The sequence below is a fragment of the Homo sapiens genome, chromosome 5, assembly GCF_000001405.40.
Source record: "Homo sapiens chromosome 5, GRCh38.p14 Primary Assembly".
NCBI lineage: Eukaryota > Metazoa > Chordata > Mammalia > Primates > Hominidae > Homo > Homo sapiens.
In genome coordinates this window covers 65,678,582-65,695,297 of record NC_000005.10, presented here as the reverse complement: position 1 = coordinate 65,695,297, position 16,716 = coordinate 65,678,582, and the positions used below count along the sequence as shown (strand labels likewise).

The 16,716-nt window shown below is 40.0% G+C and overlaps 1 protein-coding gene across 3 annotated transcripts in view; it reads left to right on the top strand.

The window, feature by feature from the left end:
- SGTB (small glutamine rich tetratricopeptide repeat co-chaperone beta) overlaps positions 1 to 16,716 on the top strand; it is a 57,086-nt gene that overhangs the window by 27,716 nt on the left and 12,654 nt on the right. For all 3 annotated transcript variants that reach the window (XM_005248548.4, NM_019072.3, XM_047417334.1), the window contains 3 exons: positions 9,826 to 9,930; positions 14,504 to 14,642; positions 14,742 to 14,804. In XM_005248548.4, coding sequence (XP_005248605.1) covers positions 9,826 to 9,930; positions 14,504 to 14,642; positions 14,742 to 14,804 — 307 coding nt within the window. The remainder of the gene's footprint in view (positions 1 to 9,825; positions 9,931 to 14,503; positions 14,643 to 14,741; positions 14,805 to 16,716) is intronic.

Sequence of the window (16,716 nt, the reverse complement as noted above, 5' to 3'; positions counted from 1 at the left end):
GTCTGATCCTCCCTGCTTATTTCTTATCTTATTGTCAGAATCTGAAGCCAGATTTCAGGGTGTCTTTCTGTTTCCCTTTTCCATACACCTCCCAAATAGCTAATTTATTTCCTACTCCCTTAGTCCAGGTTCTTAACTTTGGTTGAACTAGTGCAATAGGGACATCAAAATGGCTTTCCATTTCTACTTGCACTCCCCACTCCTGTCTTCTGCCAAGACGTTTTTTTTCTAAGATGTGAAATTGATCATCTAATGCTTGCTTTCAGTAGTTCCAAAATACCTACAGGATCCAATTTAAGCTCCTCAACATGACGCATAAGATCTTTTCTAATCTAGGCTCTTTCTTTTCTCTTAACTTCATTATCTTCACTTTTCCTCCTACCCTATTCCTCTTCTCTCTACTACCTATGCACATGTCATATGAAACTTACTGATTTCTTAAAAATACCATGTTGGGACATCTCTCTGTGCTTTGTATGTGCTTCCCCCTGTGCCTAGAATATTTCCTACCTTATCTAATTGGTCAACTACTAGTCATCCTTCAAAACCCATTATGCTTTGGGAGGCCGAGGTGGGTGAATCACCTGAGGTCAGGAGTTTGAGACCAGCCTGGCCAACATGGTGAAACCCCTGTCTCCACTAAAAATACAAAAAATTAGCTGGGTGTGGTGGTGCGCACCTGTATTCCCAGCTACTCTGGAGGCTGAGGCAGGAGAATTGCTTGAATCCGGGAGGCGGAGGTTGCAGTGAGCCGAAGTCACGTCACTACACTCCAGCCTGAGCTACAAGAGCGAAACTCTGTCTCAAAAAACAAAAGACAAAAAACCCTGTTAGGTGTTGCTTCTTTGGGACGACTTTCTTAATTTCTTTTCTTTTTTTTCCTTGTCACCCAGGCTGGAGTGCAGTGGCACGATCTTGGCTCACTGCACCCTCTGCCTCCCAGGTTCAGGCAATTCTTCTGTCTCAGCCTCCTGAGTAGCTGGGACTACAGGCTCCTGCCACTATGCCCAGCTAATTTTTTTGTAGTTTTAGTAGAGACGGGGTTTCACTATGTTGGCCAGGCTGGTCTCAAACTCCTGACCTCAGGTGATCCACCCGTCTCGGCCTCCCAAAGTGCTGGGATTACACGTGTGAGCCACTGCGCCTGGTCTTCTTAATGTCTTTTCCTCCCAACCTCCTGACCATGCCCCTATGCCCTTCCCCTCCGTGTCCTGTGGAGTGGTGCTGTCCAATATGGTAGCTCCCAGCCACATGTGGTGATTTAAATATAAATTAATTAAAATGTAATACAATTAAATATTGCATTAGCAGTTCCTCAGTTGCATTAGCATATTTCAAATGCTCATTAGTCACATGTGGCTAGGTGCTACTGTATTGGATAGTACAGATACAGAACTTTTCTGTTGCAGAAAGTTCTGTTAGACAGCTTGGCATAGGGTTAGCCACACCTTTCTCTGTGTTGCCTCTTCCTTTTATACTTCCATTTTTGCAATTTATTATAGTATTTGTTTATTTGCATATCTATTTCCCTATTAGACTAGGAAAGGTTGAAGGGCAGGGAGATATTCTCTTCATCTTTGTATAGTAGTTTCGAGTTCAGTGTCTAGGATATTATAGGTATTCCACAAAAGTCAGCTGAATTGGTTCAGTGAATTTTAGGAGGGAAAGTTGTCTCTACCTGATGACTTCTAATGATGAAACAGTGACATGGCAGCGTGTATGTGTGTCTATTTAAAAAAAAAATTAAACCTATTTAAACTTCTTGAGAGAGAATAGTATGATGAACATCTCTCTCTATATGTATGTTCATCACAGAATCAATGGTAGTTAACATTTTGCCATGTTTACTTCCTCTTTTCCTTCCTTCCTTCCCTCTCTCTCTCCTTCCTTCCTTCCTTCTTTCCTTCCCTCCCTCCCTTTCTCTTTCTTTCTTTTTCTCCTTCCTTCCTTCCTTCCCTCCCTTCTCCTCTTTCTTTCTCTCTTTCCTTCTTGATTCATCCCTTCCTTCCTTGCTCTCTCTCCTTCGTTCCTTCCTTCCTTCCTTCCTTCCTCTCTCTCTTTCTCTCTTTCCCTTCCTTCCCTTCCCTTCCCTTCCCGTCCCATCCTGTCCTGTCCTTCTCTCACTCTGTCACCCAGCCTGGAGTGCAATGGGATGATCTCACTGTAACCTCTGCCTTCCAGGTTCAAGCAAGTCTCATGCCTCAGTCTCCTGAGTAGCAGGGACCACGGGACACCCAGCTAATTTTTGTATTTTTAGTATAGACAGGATTTCATCATGTTGGGCAGGCTTTCTCAAACTCCTGACCTGAAGTGATTCACCCACCTCGGCCTCCCAAAGTGCTGGGATTACAGGCATGAGCCACCGCACCTGGCCTCTCTTTGTCTTTCTATTGGGGTATATGGGGTGGGAGGGTGTGTATATGCCTATATACAAATACATAAAATTTTCTTGCTGATCCCAAATACTTCAGCTATATCTCCCAAGAATAGGGATATGTTTCATATAACTATCATACCATTTACATGTAAGAAAATTAGTATTAATACTGAAATCTTTCCATTTGTCCCCAAAACATCTTTTATAGCTATGTGTTTTTATCCAGAATCCAACCACATTTCTTGCATTGTATTTTGTTATGCCACTTTTGTCTCTTTTAATCTAAAAAGTATCCCTGACTTTTTTGATTGATTGTTTTTCACGAGATAGACATTTTTGAAGAGTTCAGGCCAATTGTCTTATAGAATGAGCCATATTCTGGATTTATGTGGTGCTTCCTCATGATTAAATTTAAGTTAAATTTTGTTATGAAGCCTACAAAAATAATTATGTGTACCACTTATTGCATTGTGTTAGGAGGTACATATTTTCAGACTGTCCCATTACTGGTGACTCTAAGTTTGATATCTTAAGGTGATGACCACCAGATCTATTGTTCCTTTTGTAATTTATAAGTAATCTGTAGGGTTTGGTGATGTGAATAAAAAATTATTCCCTAACAAACTTCTATTAAATATTTTATCATCTGTTCATGATCTTTCTCCTTATCACATACGTTGATAGTTGCAAAATGGTGATTTTTCTAATTTTATCGTTTCCTTTACATATATTTCCTCACATATTTCTATAAAGAAGAGCTTTCCTCTCTTCCTTTTTCGGCTTTCTCCCTCTTCCTCACTGAAGCTTTTTTGAGTGTCAAAAAAGCTGGACTCGTTAATTTTTTAAAAATTCGCTATTCAATATGTTATAATCAGTTACCTTAATAGTTATTTTTGGTTCTTAAATTATCCCACATTTGGCTAATGAGAGCCCCTTTAAACTGGTCGTGTATCCTTTTATGTAACTTCATTTTTTTTTTTTTTTTTCTTTAAGACGAAGTCTCGGTCTGTCACCCAGGCTGGGGTGCAGTGGCGCGATCTCGGCTCACTGCAAGCTCCGCCTCCCGGGTTCACGCCATTCTCCTGCGTCGGCCTCCCGAGTAGCTGGGACTACAGGCGCCCGCCACCACGCCCGGCTAATTTTTTTTGTATTTTTAGTTTCACTGTGTTAGCCAGGATGGTCTCGATCTCCTGACCTTGTGATCTGCCTGCCTCGGCCTCCCAAAGTGCTGGGATTACAGGCGTGAGGCACTGCGCCCGGCCTGTAACTTCATTTTTAAAGAACACTTTCTTAGCCAGGCACAGTGGCTCACCGCCTGTAATCCCAGCACTTTGGGAGGCCGAGGCCAGTGGATCACTTGAGGTCAGGAGTTTGAGACCAGCCTGGCCAATATGGTGAAACACCTGTCTCTACTAAAAATACAAAAAACAGCTGGGTGTGCCACTGCACTCCAGCCTGGGAGACAGAGCAAGACTGTCTCAAAAAAAATAATAAAATAATAAAAAAACCAACCACTTTCTTGCTTTCTGAGATAATAAGACATTCCATATTTCCTTTGTACTTTCCCTGTTGTAGCCTTGAGCTCAACTATTTCTCCAAGGAAGCTCTGTCCTTTTCAGTGGAGGATGTATTTAGAAACCAAGATTGGGTTGCAGGACATGATCATTGCTACTAAGGTCTTATTGCTTCTAGGTCCTTTCAGTGGACAGAGCTAGGAAATTGATTTTTTGAAAAGTATCAGTTTATACAGATACCTTCAATTCACTAGCATCACAGAATCCTCCCTTATCTTCCCCCATTTTATATTTGTATCTTCCTTCTCCCATGGTGAAAACCCTTCTTCCATTACCACCAGTAGCTTTACTCATTTGCTGTATCTTTCAGTATCCTTCAGTTGGTATTATAAGCCAATATTACACCACTAGCACGCCTGCTATGTAAACTTCAGGATTTCTTTGCAGTTTTTCATTTGTCTTTGAATGCATCTCACTAAGCATATATACTGAGAATACTGTGCTCAAAAGTGATTTGAATTGTTTTTGATATACAATTAGGATCAATTGTTTGTTTTATTCAGTTTGAAGTTTTGCTTTTTCATCTTTCTGAAGTCTTACTCCCATTTCTATCCCATCTACCCCATTCTCACCCATCCCCTATAGGATGAGAGTGAGACTTCTAATGTAGGTTTAACTTCTGAACTTTGTACGTTTTTTACATAAAATTAAATTTAAAAGGATGATTAGTAAAAATAATACCTCTCTCTATCCTTAATGATCTGATTTGCCTTGTGTTTAATATTAGTGTTTCTACATCAGCTTTCTTTTTTGTTGTTTCAGTTCTCCTGTTTGTCTTTTGCTGTCCTTTTAACTTCAACCTGTGTATGATTATGGTTTAAGTGATATCTTTTGTATCCAAGTTGAGAATCTGAGTTTTGTGTGATAAATTTGAATTGTTTTCTGCTACCTTTTTTAGGGGGGTGAGGAGGACAGACTCTTGCTTTGTAACCCAGGCTAAAGTACAGTGGCATGAACATGGCTCACTGCAGCCTCGACCTCCTGGGCTCAAGTGATCCTCCTGTCTCAGCCTCCCGAGTAGCTGAAACTACAGGCGTACACCACTACACCTGGGTAATTTTTAAATTTTTCGTAGACACAGGGTCACACTGTGTTGCCCAAGGTGTTCTCAAACTCCTGGACTCAAGTGATCCTCTTGGCCTTGACCTCCCAAAGTGTTGGGATTACAGGCATGAGCCACTGCACCTGGCTCTTTTTAAGCATCCTTTTTCTTGGCTGCTTCTTCTCTCCCCCACATCCCCCCCTTCTATTGGATTGATTTTTTTTCTTTCTTTCTAATTATTTGGAAGTTACACATCCTATATCTCTTCTTCTAATGGTTATTCTTGTCCTGCTGTTACTTTGTATTGAGTATTAAGTTGGAGAAACCCATACCACTTTTTCACATGAACTACCAAAACTGGTTTGTTGAACCCTATACTTTCAAATCTTAATTTTTTTTAAACTGAAGCAAAGGACTATGTTTATTTTTAAATAAATATTAACATTTTTATAATTAGTCTGAAAAGTAAGGGCCTCAGTCATGCTGTATGAAGAAAGATTGGCAGAAAACTAGACCTAAAACCACCTTTTCTCTATAGTCTGCCAGACTTCTCCTCCCACTCCATGCCCCCACTAGAATCTAAGTGCTATTGAGGACAGGAATATTATTTTGCTTATTGCTGTATCCATTATTCTTAGAAAAGTGTGCATTCACTGGCCCTCAATAGATATATTAGTTGAATGAATCAAGTAGAAATATTTAGAGAAGAACAAATGGAGTGGTGTAGCTTTACTCCTTCGCTGTATCTTTCAGTATCCTTCAGTTGTTATTATAAACCAATATAATTGGTTTATAATTATAAATTACAATTATATTGGTTTATAATTATGAGGGCAGGAGACATTATGGAAACTTTGAGTTGAAAGATTTGCATGTCAGACAATAATTATACTTGTATTGTTCCCAGTCATTTTAGAAGAGTTTTTTTGGTAGATGTGATATAGCAAGTGTTAACAAATCAGATAAATGGTCCTTGATTGCTCTGAGATTCTGTGCAAAGTAGATGTAATAGTTGTCATCCTTAATTTACAGCCAGATTTAGGTACACAGATAAGTGTTTTTACTTTAGATTTGCTAGATAATCTTAATATATTGTAATGTTATGTGTACCTGTAGAATGACTAGTGTTTTGGGAAGGCATGAATATGCATTTATTAAAGATAAATTTTAACTAAACAAAGAAATACAATTAAAAGGCCAGGCATGGTGGCTCACGCCTGTAATCCCAGCACTTTGGGAGGCTGAGGCAGACAGATCACGAGGTCAGGAGATCGAGACCATCCTGGCTAACACGGTGAAACCCCCGTCTCTACTAAAAATACAAAAAATTAGCTGGGCGTGGTGGCGGGCGCCTGTAATCCCAGCTACTTGGGAGGCTGAGGCAGGAGAATGGCTTGAACCCAGGAGGCGGAGCTTGCAGTGAGCCAAGATCACGCCATTGCACTGCAGCCTGGGCGACAGAGCAAGACTCCACCTAAAAAAAGAAAAATTAAAAATAGTTAACATTAAATCCTGAATGTAGCCATATATGAAACACTTAAAATGCAATCCACATGGTATTATTGTTCTCTTTGAAAACTTTTGCTAGGTAACATTCCAGATGCTCAGAGTATGCTAAGTCCTATGTATTATGTATAGAGGAGTCATTTTCTGATTGTATTTTAAAAATCACAAAGCAGATATCTAAAGGCAAGTATTGCCTTTCAGTTTCCTGAAGGTGTTTAGCAAGTGTTTAGGAACAGATTTGTTGTTTTTTCAAAACCACATAGTTCTTTCTCTGAATTCCCTTTTCAAAATTTTCTCTCTCCATCCTCCCATGAGCCCTTTTACCCTTCTTGCATGTTTCTGTGCATATGTGCGGACAAGTAAACTGTTTTGAAGGTGAGACTCTTGGCAGAAAAGAGATGAGATTGAGGCATTTGCTGTTCTACAAAATCACCGTTATCAGATTTCCAGAATCAGATGTCAGTGATAGATCAGACACTAGGCCTGTGAATTTGCAGATAGTATTGCCTTGCCTAATGAATTAGATATAAGACCTGGACTTAGTATATATCTCATGCTCCGTTTCTGGACAAGATTTTTTTTCTTCCAGTGGCTCTGCTTATTATATATAATAAAATTATTTTAAAAATCTGTCTCAAAAAGTCCATTAACTCCTTTTCTCTCAATAAATGTTGTGAATTCTTAGATGAAATTTGGTTTAGCAGTTTTGTAATCCCAGATTCAACTTCCTGGCCAGGTGCAGTGGCTCACACCTGTAATCCCAGCACTTGGGGAGGCCGAGGTGGGCGGATCACTTGAGGTCAGGAGTTCAAGATCAGCCTGGCCAACATGGCGAAACCCTGTCTCTACTAAAAATACGAAAATTAGCCGGGTATGGTGGCACACACCTGTAATCCCAGCTACTTGGGGGGTTGAGGCAGGAGAATCACTTGAACCTGGGAGACGGAGGTTGCAGTGAGCCGAGATCGCGCCACTGCAGTCCAGCCTGGGCGACAAAGCAAGACTCCGTCTCAAAAACACAAACACAACAACAATAACAAAAAACTCCCTGAGTTGGTAGGATTCCATTGTCATTCAGTTAATTCCTTGCATTACTTCTCTCTCTGAACTGTTCTCCTTCAAGCAACCAGGCAGAATAGACCAGAACATCTGAGGCCTCTGAGGGACCTTCCTGGCTCTATGGACTAAAATCACCTGTCGACAAGAGCTTTCTATAGTGGTAGAAAAAGGAGCTTGCTCTGAGACAATGTCTCATTCCTCCCTTATTGTTATTGTGACACAAAGTTTTTGTCCTGAAAGCACTGTGGCTTAGAAGGCCAAGCATAAATATGAGTTTTCTTGAAATCTCCTTTCTGAGTACGTATGTATCTATGTGTCACCCATTGAAGTATATAAACTTTTCAAGGTTGGTCTCTTAAAATTTTCTCTGAGTTAAGCTACTCTAAAAGGAAGATCTGTACTTGTCTGGAAGGTTGTGCTCCTTATACAGCATAACTTTAATGAATGCTTATTGACCTGGAATCCTCACATTGGATGGGGAAAAGTCAGTGATCCAGACTCACATGTTGTTAATCTGCTTTGTGGAAACCAGGCTATGATGGGAATTTCTCATCATCTTCCTGTTAATTAGAACTAAACTCCTATTTCTTCTCCTTTTCTTCCCACTAAATGTGCTGAATTTTTAGTGAAAATTTAGTAGGTTTATATTCCCAGGTTCAGCTTCCAGAATTGGCAGTATTTCTTTTAGCTTCTTCTATCCAGGATTGGTTTTACATAACACATCTGTTCATGGATACCTAGCAAATAATTGATTTATTACTATGTACATCCAGTATTTGTAGAGTATAATAATAAGCTGGATGTGATATAGAAGTAGTATTAGATAACCCTAATCTATAGTTTGATTGACAGGAGGAGATTAGAACATACTTAAGAAATATTGAGGATTAGCAAGGATCCTCACTGATACTTGGAGCTAGGTGGTGTTTTAATCAGCTTTATTGTTTTCGTGTGTGCTTATTAGATTCCAGCTAGGTCCTTGAAAGACATGACCTTTGACTAATTTCAAGGAAGAGAGATGGTTTACTGGGTGGTTAAGCAAAAAGATTGTTTTTAAGGACAATTAAAACAACATATATGGGGCCAGGTGCGGTGGCTCATGCCTGTAATCCCAGCTCTTAGGGAGGCAGAGGCGGGAGGATAGCATGAGCCCAGGAGTTCAGGACTTGCCTGGGCAATATAGCGAGACCATGTTTGCTACAAAAAGGAAAAAAAAAAAAAACAAATGTGGGTAAAGAGAGAATAAAGGTAGCAAAAACAAGAGTAGTGCTTCTCAGATTGCAGTGGGAGAGGAACATGAGGTCAGAGACTTGGGTTGGCGTGAGACTCTTGTCTGTAGACTGAAGAACATGAAGGAGCCTAAGTTCATTTCTGGGCTTGCAAGCAAAATTTTCAGGGAGTGCTTCTTTACCTTTATTAATGCAAAGGGTACCAGGTCTTGGAGTTACAGTGTTGGAGGCAGAGGTGCTGTGCAGCATAGCATTCTCCTTTGCAGTTGTGAGAAATTGAAGAAGTGGTCAGCACACCCTGGCCCTCCTTGGTCCAAGAAACTTCTGTTTCTTGGTTGCTGGCACCCCACTTTGACTTCTGAGCATCTGTCTTAGAGCTTCTCTTCTTTCCTGTTTCTCCTCTGAGCTATTTCTTCCTATTTGGAAACGTTATTGAGGAGAGTTCACAACTGCAGGGATTTTGATCTAGGCAAGTGTTCTTTTTCCAAAGTTGGCTCTTCAACCTTTTGATGAGGGACAAGATTATGAGAACTTCTGGGAGCCTGAAAGAAATAAAATACAGTTGGCCTTAGAAATGAGTGAATGAGAGAAAGTGCCAGGGGACTGGGATATCACTTTTACTTGTCGTTTAACCCTACCATTAAAGTGATAATAGCACAACCCTCTGTGTAGCCATTCACAGCAATAACTCACTCTTTGTGCCTCCATAGTAGCCAAGATGTCCTAGCTTTTTCACTTTTCTGTTTGGACAAACTAGAAAGGGTATAAATAGGTAGACCAGTTGTATGACTTACATATTTGTCCTTTCTATAGCAAAGCAAACAGTGAAAGGCAGCCTGCATACTTTTTTCTGCACAGAAGTTTCTGAGCTTTTTTTTTTCATTTTATTACATAATTATCTTAGACAGTTTGACTTAGAAATTTAGTGGGAGTGATCTACAAATTGGAACAAGAAAAAGGTAGTATTATTAGTACCTGAAAATCTAAATTAGTGCCTTGAAAACTGCCTTTAATAAAATTCTGTTTTCTTTCTCTTAGGGCTGCTGCTCAGAGCAAATTAGGTCACTACACAGATGCGATAAAGGATTGTGAAAAAGCAATAGCAATTGATTCAAAGTACAGCAAGGCCTATGGGAGAATGGGGTAAGTTCTGGGAGGATGTTCCAAGTAGTACCATGTAGCATCAGGTATGCTGTTCTTAATGGCTTGGTTTTGAATTTCCTGCTTAATGTTTTACCCTCTGAACTAATAAGAGGATAAATAAAACATAAGGGAGGAAATGACTACAATTTCTTTGACTAGGAAGTGAGATGATTGATGACTGATTTGATTGTTGGAGAAAATTATATAACCGTACCACAAATCTCAGATGAGCACTCAATATTGCAGACAGTTAGGCAGACAGTTCTATTATTTTTCCTTCTATAGTCACCTTTCCACTCGCTGATGTGACGATTTCATACCTCTTCCTCTCCCTTCAAATTTCCACTACCCCCTCTCTGGTGACTCTCAACTGATGCTATTGCCTTACACTTAATTGAGAAGCTAGATGCTTTTTGAAGGAAAACAACTCATTTTCCTCCTTGCAAATCCATCAGTCTGCCTACATTTGTATCTACACAGAATGCCCTTTTTTCTTGTTAAAATGGAAGCATTCTGGCTGGGCGTGGTGACTCACGCCTGTAATCCCAGCACTTTGGAAGGCCAAGGTGGGCAGATCACTTGAGGTCAGGAGTTTAAGACCAGCCTGCCCAACATGGTGAAACCCCGTCTCTACTAAAAATACAAAAATTAGCCAGGCATGGTGATGAGCACCCGCAGACCCAGCTACTCAGGAGGCTAAGGCAGGAGAATCACTTGAACCTGGGCGGCAGAGGTTGCAGTGAGCTGAGATAGAGCCACTGCACTCCAGTCTGGGTGACAGATTGAGACTCTGTCTCAAAAAAAAAGAAGCATTCTTACCTAAGACCATTGCCTCCACTCATGCTTTAAGATCCCATTCCCTTGTACCTTCTCCACAACTTTGCAACTATTACAATCCCCTTCATTTTCTACAACATTAGATCTTCCATCTCTAATAGATGATAATGGTTGGCATGTGATCAGGTCATAAAAAGTCATTCACTGAGCCAGGTGCAGTGGCTAACACCTGTAATCCCAGCATTTTGGGAGGCCAAGGTGGGAGAAATGCTTGAGCCCAGGAGTTCAAGACCAGCCTGGGCAACATAGCAAGACCCCATCTCTATAAAAATACAAAAATTATCCAGGAGTGGTGGGGTACACCTGTAGTCCCAGCTACTTGGGAGGCTGAGGTGAGAAGATTGCTTGAGTCTGGGAAGTCGAGGCTGTGGTGAGCCGTGATCGTGTCACTGCACTCCAGCCTGAGTGACAGAGTGAGACCCTGTCTCAAAAAAAAGAAAAAAAATCATTAGTTGGACCCATCCCTTTACCCAGCGTTCCCCTCTAGCCACCATCCCACTTCTCAGTTCCTCGTTCTCTGCCCCTGATGGTTATCTGTACTTGCTGTTTCATCTTTGTCATCTCTTTTTTTCTTTTTTTTTTTTTGAGACAGAGTCTCGCTCTGTCACCCAGGCTGCAGTGCAGTGGCGCGATCTCAGCTTACTGCAAGCTTTGCCTCCTGGGTTCACGCCATTCTCCTGTCTCAGCCTCCCGAGTAGCTGGGACTACAGGCACCCGCCACCATGCCCAGCTAATTTTTTGTATTTTTAGTAGAGACGGGGTTTCACTGCGTTAGCCAGGATGGTCTCGATCTCCTGACCTCACGATCCACCCACCTCGGCCTCCCAAAGTGCTGGGATTACAGGCCACTATTAACTTATTGTCAAAATACATCACTCTCTAGGATCCTGACACTACACTTGCCCTGTTTCCCCTTCCACTTTACTGGATGCTCTTTTCCAGTCTCCCTTGCTTGTTCTTCCTCTCTACCATCTCTAAACAATGCTGTATTTTAGGGTTGCATCCTCTGCTGCTGCTGTTTCTTTGTCTTCTCTCTGCTCAGTTTATCCTGCTCCATGCTTTTAAAATTCATCTACAGTTGATACTCATTATTTGCAGATTCTGTATTTATGAATTTGCCTACTTGCTAAATTAATTTGTAATCCCCAAATCAATATTTACACTGCTTCTGTGGTCATTCATGTACATGCACAATTAGTGAAAATGTGTCTTCTGATGCTCTCGATCTCAACTGAGGGTGAATAAGGTGATGCTCTATCTTTTTGTTTCAGCTCTCATGCTGAAACAGTCTATTTAGTGCTACATTTTTTTTTGTATTTTTGTGCCTTTTATTTGTGATTTTGCTGTTTACAGTGGCCCCCAACTATAGGCTGAAGTGTTATCTAGTATTCCTAAGTGCAAGAGGACTGTAATGTGCCTTATGGAGAAAATATATTTATGAGACAAGCTTCATTCAGGCATGAGTTAGTGCCGTTGGCTATGAGTTCAATGCTAATGAATAAAATATATATATTAAATAAAGTTTCTTTAATCAGAAACACACATAAAAACAAGATTATATATTGATCAGTTGATGAAAATATGACTATTTACAACAGTTGCAGGAACCTAACTCTGTATTTTCCCTAGGAACAATTGTTCAGTATTTGCTAATTCATTGTTCATGGTGACTTTATAGAACAGGACTACTGTGAATAAGAATCAACTATATATATTATCGGATCTAATTTATATGTTTGAACTCCGTACTCATATATTCTACTACTCTTCAACTCTATGTTTGGATGTTTAATAGGTATTTAAACTTAACATGTCCCAGACAGAACTCATGTTCCCTTCCAAAATCTTTCCAATCTCAATACATTGTACAATTAGTTATCTATCCCATGCACAGGTCAGAAGCCTAAGAGTCATCCTTCATTGTTATTACGCCTGACATAAGTACTGATACTCTGTCATCAAGTCCTGTCAATTCTAGTTTCTGTATATATCTTGAATCCAAGTGTTGATCGCTATCTTACATATAGCCCCAGTCCAAACTACATCTCTTACCTAAGCTACTGCAATAGCTTCCTAACCGATCTCCCTGCCTCCATTCTACCCTTCTGCCCATGTAGATCCTCTACGTAGAAGCCAGAGTGAGCTTTCAAAAGCACAAATTGTATCATGTGACTCCATTGCAACCAGAATAAAGTTCAAACTCCAAGCAATGGTCCTCTATCATCTGGCACCCAACTGTTCTCTGACATCATCTCTCCATGCTTTGTTTTCTGTGTTCCCTCCTCATCAGCCCTTGTCCTGTTCCTTAAGAATACCAAGCTTGCATCTTTCTTGGGACCTTTCTGTTTACTGCTATTTCCACTACAATGCTCCTCCCTCATTTTCATGACTGCTTTCTTTACATCACTCAGATCTTTCCAATGTGGCTACTTTTTGAGCAGCTCTCCTATTCATTCCTTTAATATTGCCCTTTTTATTTGCATGCTTGTTGCCTGTCTTCCCCAGGTAGAATGAAATTTTCTTAAAGACAGAAAACTTTATCTTTTTTTTTTTTTGAGATGGAATTTCGCTCTTGTTTTCCAGGCTGGAGTGCAATGGCACAATCTCGGCCCACTGCAACCTCCGCCTCCTGGATTCAAGCAATTCTCATGCCTCAGCCTTCCTAGTAGCTGGGATTACAGGCGTCTGCCACCATGCTTGGCTAATTTTTGTATTTTTAGTAGAGACAGGGCTTCACCATGTTGGCCAGACTGGTCTCAGACTCCTGACCTCAAGTGATCCACCCACCCTGGCCTCCCAAAGTGCTGCTGGGATTAGAGACGTGGGCCACTGCGCCCAGCCAGGATCCTCAGTATCTTTAGATATTATTTTAATAATATTCTTATACATCATAGAGTTTCAGTAAATAGTTACTGACTTGACTCTTGATTAACTGGGGACTCTGATAAAGTATCATACATGGTTGACTGGTAGAAAATGAATTAGGTTCCGATAAAGAGAAAAAGAGAAAAGAAAACAGTAATTTGTTTAAAACAAACCTAAAACAAACAGAAACCCCTAATACTATGTCACCATATATACAGTTATTGTTTAGTTCTATAATAATTTTTCAATAAGTAAATTATAACTAGGTAAATATGAACATTAAAATTTAATACCTCTTTGACTTGTGCCTGGTATAATTTGTTATTTGAATTGTAAAGGATGCTAATTTTATCTACCTCTTTTGATCAGGAATAGTTATCTAATAACTACAGCCTGTTTTCTTAATGGAAAATTGATATTAATTGTTCCTCTGTTAGGAAGAAGAAAGCATGTAGGCCATTTTGAAGCACAAATACAGTTTAGAGTCCTTAAAAATGGTGTTAGCATCATGGATTTATGTGACCACATGATTGTCAACTCACATCTTTTGGAACTTAGTCTAGGCATTTATAAAGCAAATTATTTTACATATTAAGCTTAAAAATGGTAGAGTAAGTAAGATAATCTCTAAGCATTAAATTCATGATCTATAGGACAACCAGGTTATCAGCAAGCAGAATGGAGTGAGTTCAGATATATAGAATCTTAAGTTGGAGGGAATTTTGCTCCCGTGAGCCATAGTACAGTGAATAAATTAAGTGTAATCTGGATTAGAACTGAATACCAAGACAGACAGACGTTTGACGATGTTTGTGATGTCCTGATGTTCTTTAATCATATATCTGATATTCTTATATTCTATTCCCTTCAGGCTGGCCCTCACTGCCTTGAATAAATTTGAAGAAGCAGTTACAAGTTATCAAAAGGCATTAGATCTTGACCCTGAAAATGATTCCTATAAGTCAAATCTGAAAATAGCAGAACAGAAGTTAAGAGAGGTATCCAGTCCTGTAAGTTGTTAATGCCAAATGAGTGAAGTATTTTCTGTCATTCACAATTTATTGTAATTGTAGATACTGGACTGATTCTCAGATATAATTGTTTTACAGACAGGAACTGGACTGAGCTTTGACATGGCTAGCTTGATAAATAATCCAGCCTTCATTAGTATGGTGAGTATACTTTCTTTTCTGCCTCTACTGGCTATGTTTTCCATAGACTATGTAGCTATGCAATTTTTTTTAGAAACAAGTGAGTTTTTGTGGTGGTGGTTGTAGTGGAGTATTGATATAAGGCTATAGCAGGGTTCTGTTTTTTTATTTCCAACTTTTATTTCAAGTGCAGGGGTAAATGTGCAGGATGTGCAGGTTTGTTACATAGGTAAAACGTCTGCCATGGTAGTTTGCTGCACAGATCCTCCCATTACCCAGGTATTAAGCCCAGCATCTATTAGCTGTTCTTCGTGATCCTTCCTCTCCTCCCATCCTCTGCCCTCCAACAGGCCCCAGTGTGTGTTGTTCCCCTACATGTGTCATTGTGTTCTCATCATTTGGCTCCCACTTGTAAGTGAGAACATGTGTTATTTGGTTTTCTTTTCCTGTGTTAGTTTGTTAAGTAAAATGGTAAAATGGCCTCCAGCTCCATCCATGTCCCTGCGAGGGACATAATCTTATTTCTTGTTTTGGCTGCATAGCATTCCATGGTGTATATGTACCGCATTTTCTTTATCCAGTCTATCATTGATAGGCATTTGCATTGATTCCATGTCTTTGCTATTGTGAATAGTGCTGCAGTGAACATACGTACGAATGTGTATTTACAGTAGAAAGATTTCTATTCCTTCGGGTATATACCCAGTAATGGGATTGCTGGGTCGAATGGTATTTCTGCTTCTAGGTCTTTGAGGAATCACCACACTGTCTTCCACAATGGTTGAACTAATTTACATTTCCACCAACAGTGTTAAAAGCATTCCTTTTTCTCCACAACTTCGCCAGCATCTGTTGGTTTTTGTTTTTTTTGTTGTTGTTGTTGTTTGTTTGTTTTTTGAGACAGAGTTTCACTCTTGTCACCCAGTCTGGAGTGCAATGGTGTGATCTTGGCTCACTGCAACCTCCACCTCCTGGGTTCAAGCGAATCTCCTGCCTCAGCCTCCTGAGTAGCTGGGATTATAGGCACCCACAACCATGCCTGGCTAATTATTGTATTGTCAGTAGAGATGGGGTTTCACCATGCTGACCAGGCTAGTCAAATGACCTCTGGTGATCCGCCTGCCTCAGCCTCCCAAAGTGCTGGGATTACGGGCATGAGCCACCACACCTGGCCTGTTTTTGAGTTTTTAATTATAGTTGTTCTGACTTGTGTGAGATGGTATCTCATTGTGGTTTTGATTTGCATTTCTCTAATGATCAATGATGTTGAGCTGTTTTTTCATATGTTTGTTGGCCACATATATGTCTTCTTTTGAGAATTGTCTGTTCATTTCCTTTGCCCACTTTATAATGGGGTTGTTTTTTTCTTGTAAATTTGTTTAAGTTCTTATAGATGTAGGATATTAGACCTTTGTCAGATAGATAGATTGCAAAAATGTTCTCCCATTCTGTAGGTTGTCTGTTTACTCTGTTGATTGTTTCTTTTGGTGTGGAAAAGAAACTCTTTAGTTTAATTAGATCCCATTTGTCAATTTTTTCTTTTGTTGCAATTGCTTTTGGCATCTTCATCATGAAATCTTTGCCTGTGTCTATGTCCTGAATGATATTGCCTCGGTTTATAGAGTTCTTATAGTTTTGAGTTGCACATTTAAGTCTTTAATCCATCTTGAGTTGATTTTTGTATATATATGGTATAACGAAGGGGTCCAGTTTCAATTTTCTCCATATGGCTAGCCAATTCTCTCAGCAACACTTATTAAATAGGGAATCCTTTCCCCATTGCTTTTGCCAGGTTTGTCAAAGATCAGATGGTTGTGAGTGTGCAGTCTTATTTCTGGGTTCTCTGTTCTGTTCCACTGGTCTATGTGTCTGTTCTTGTACCAGTACCATGCAGTTTTGGTTATTGTAGCCCTGTAGTACAGTTTGAAATTGG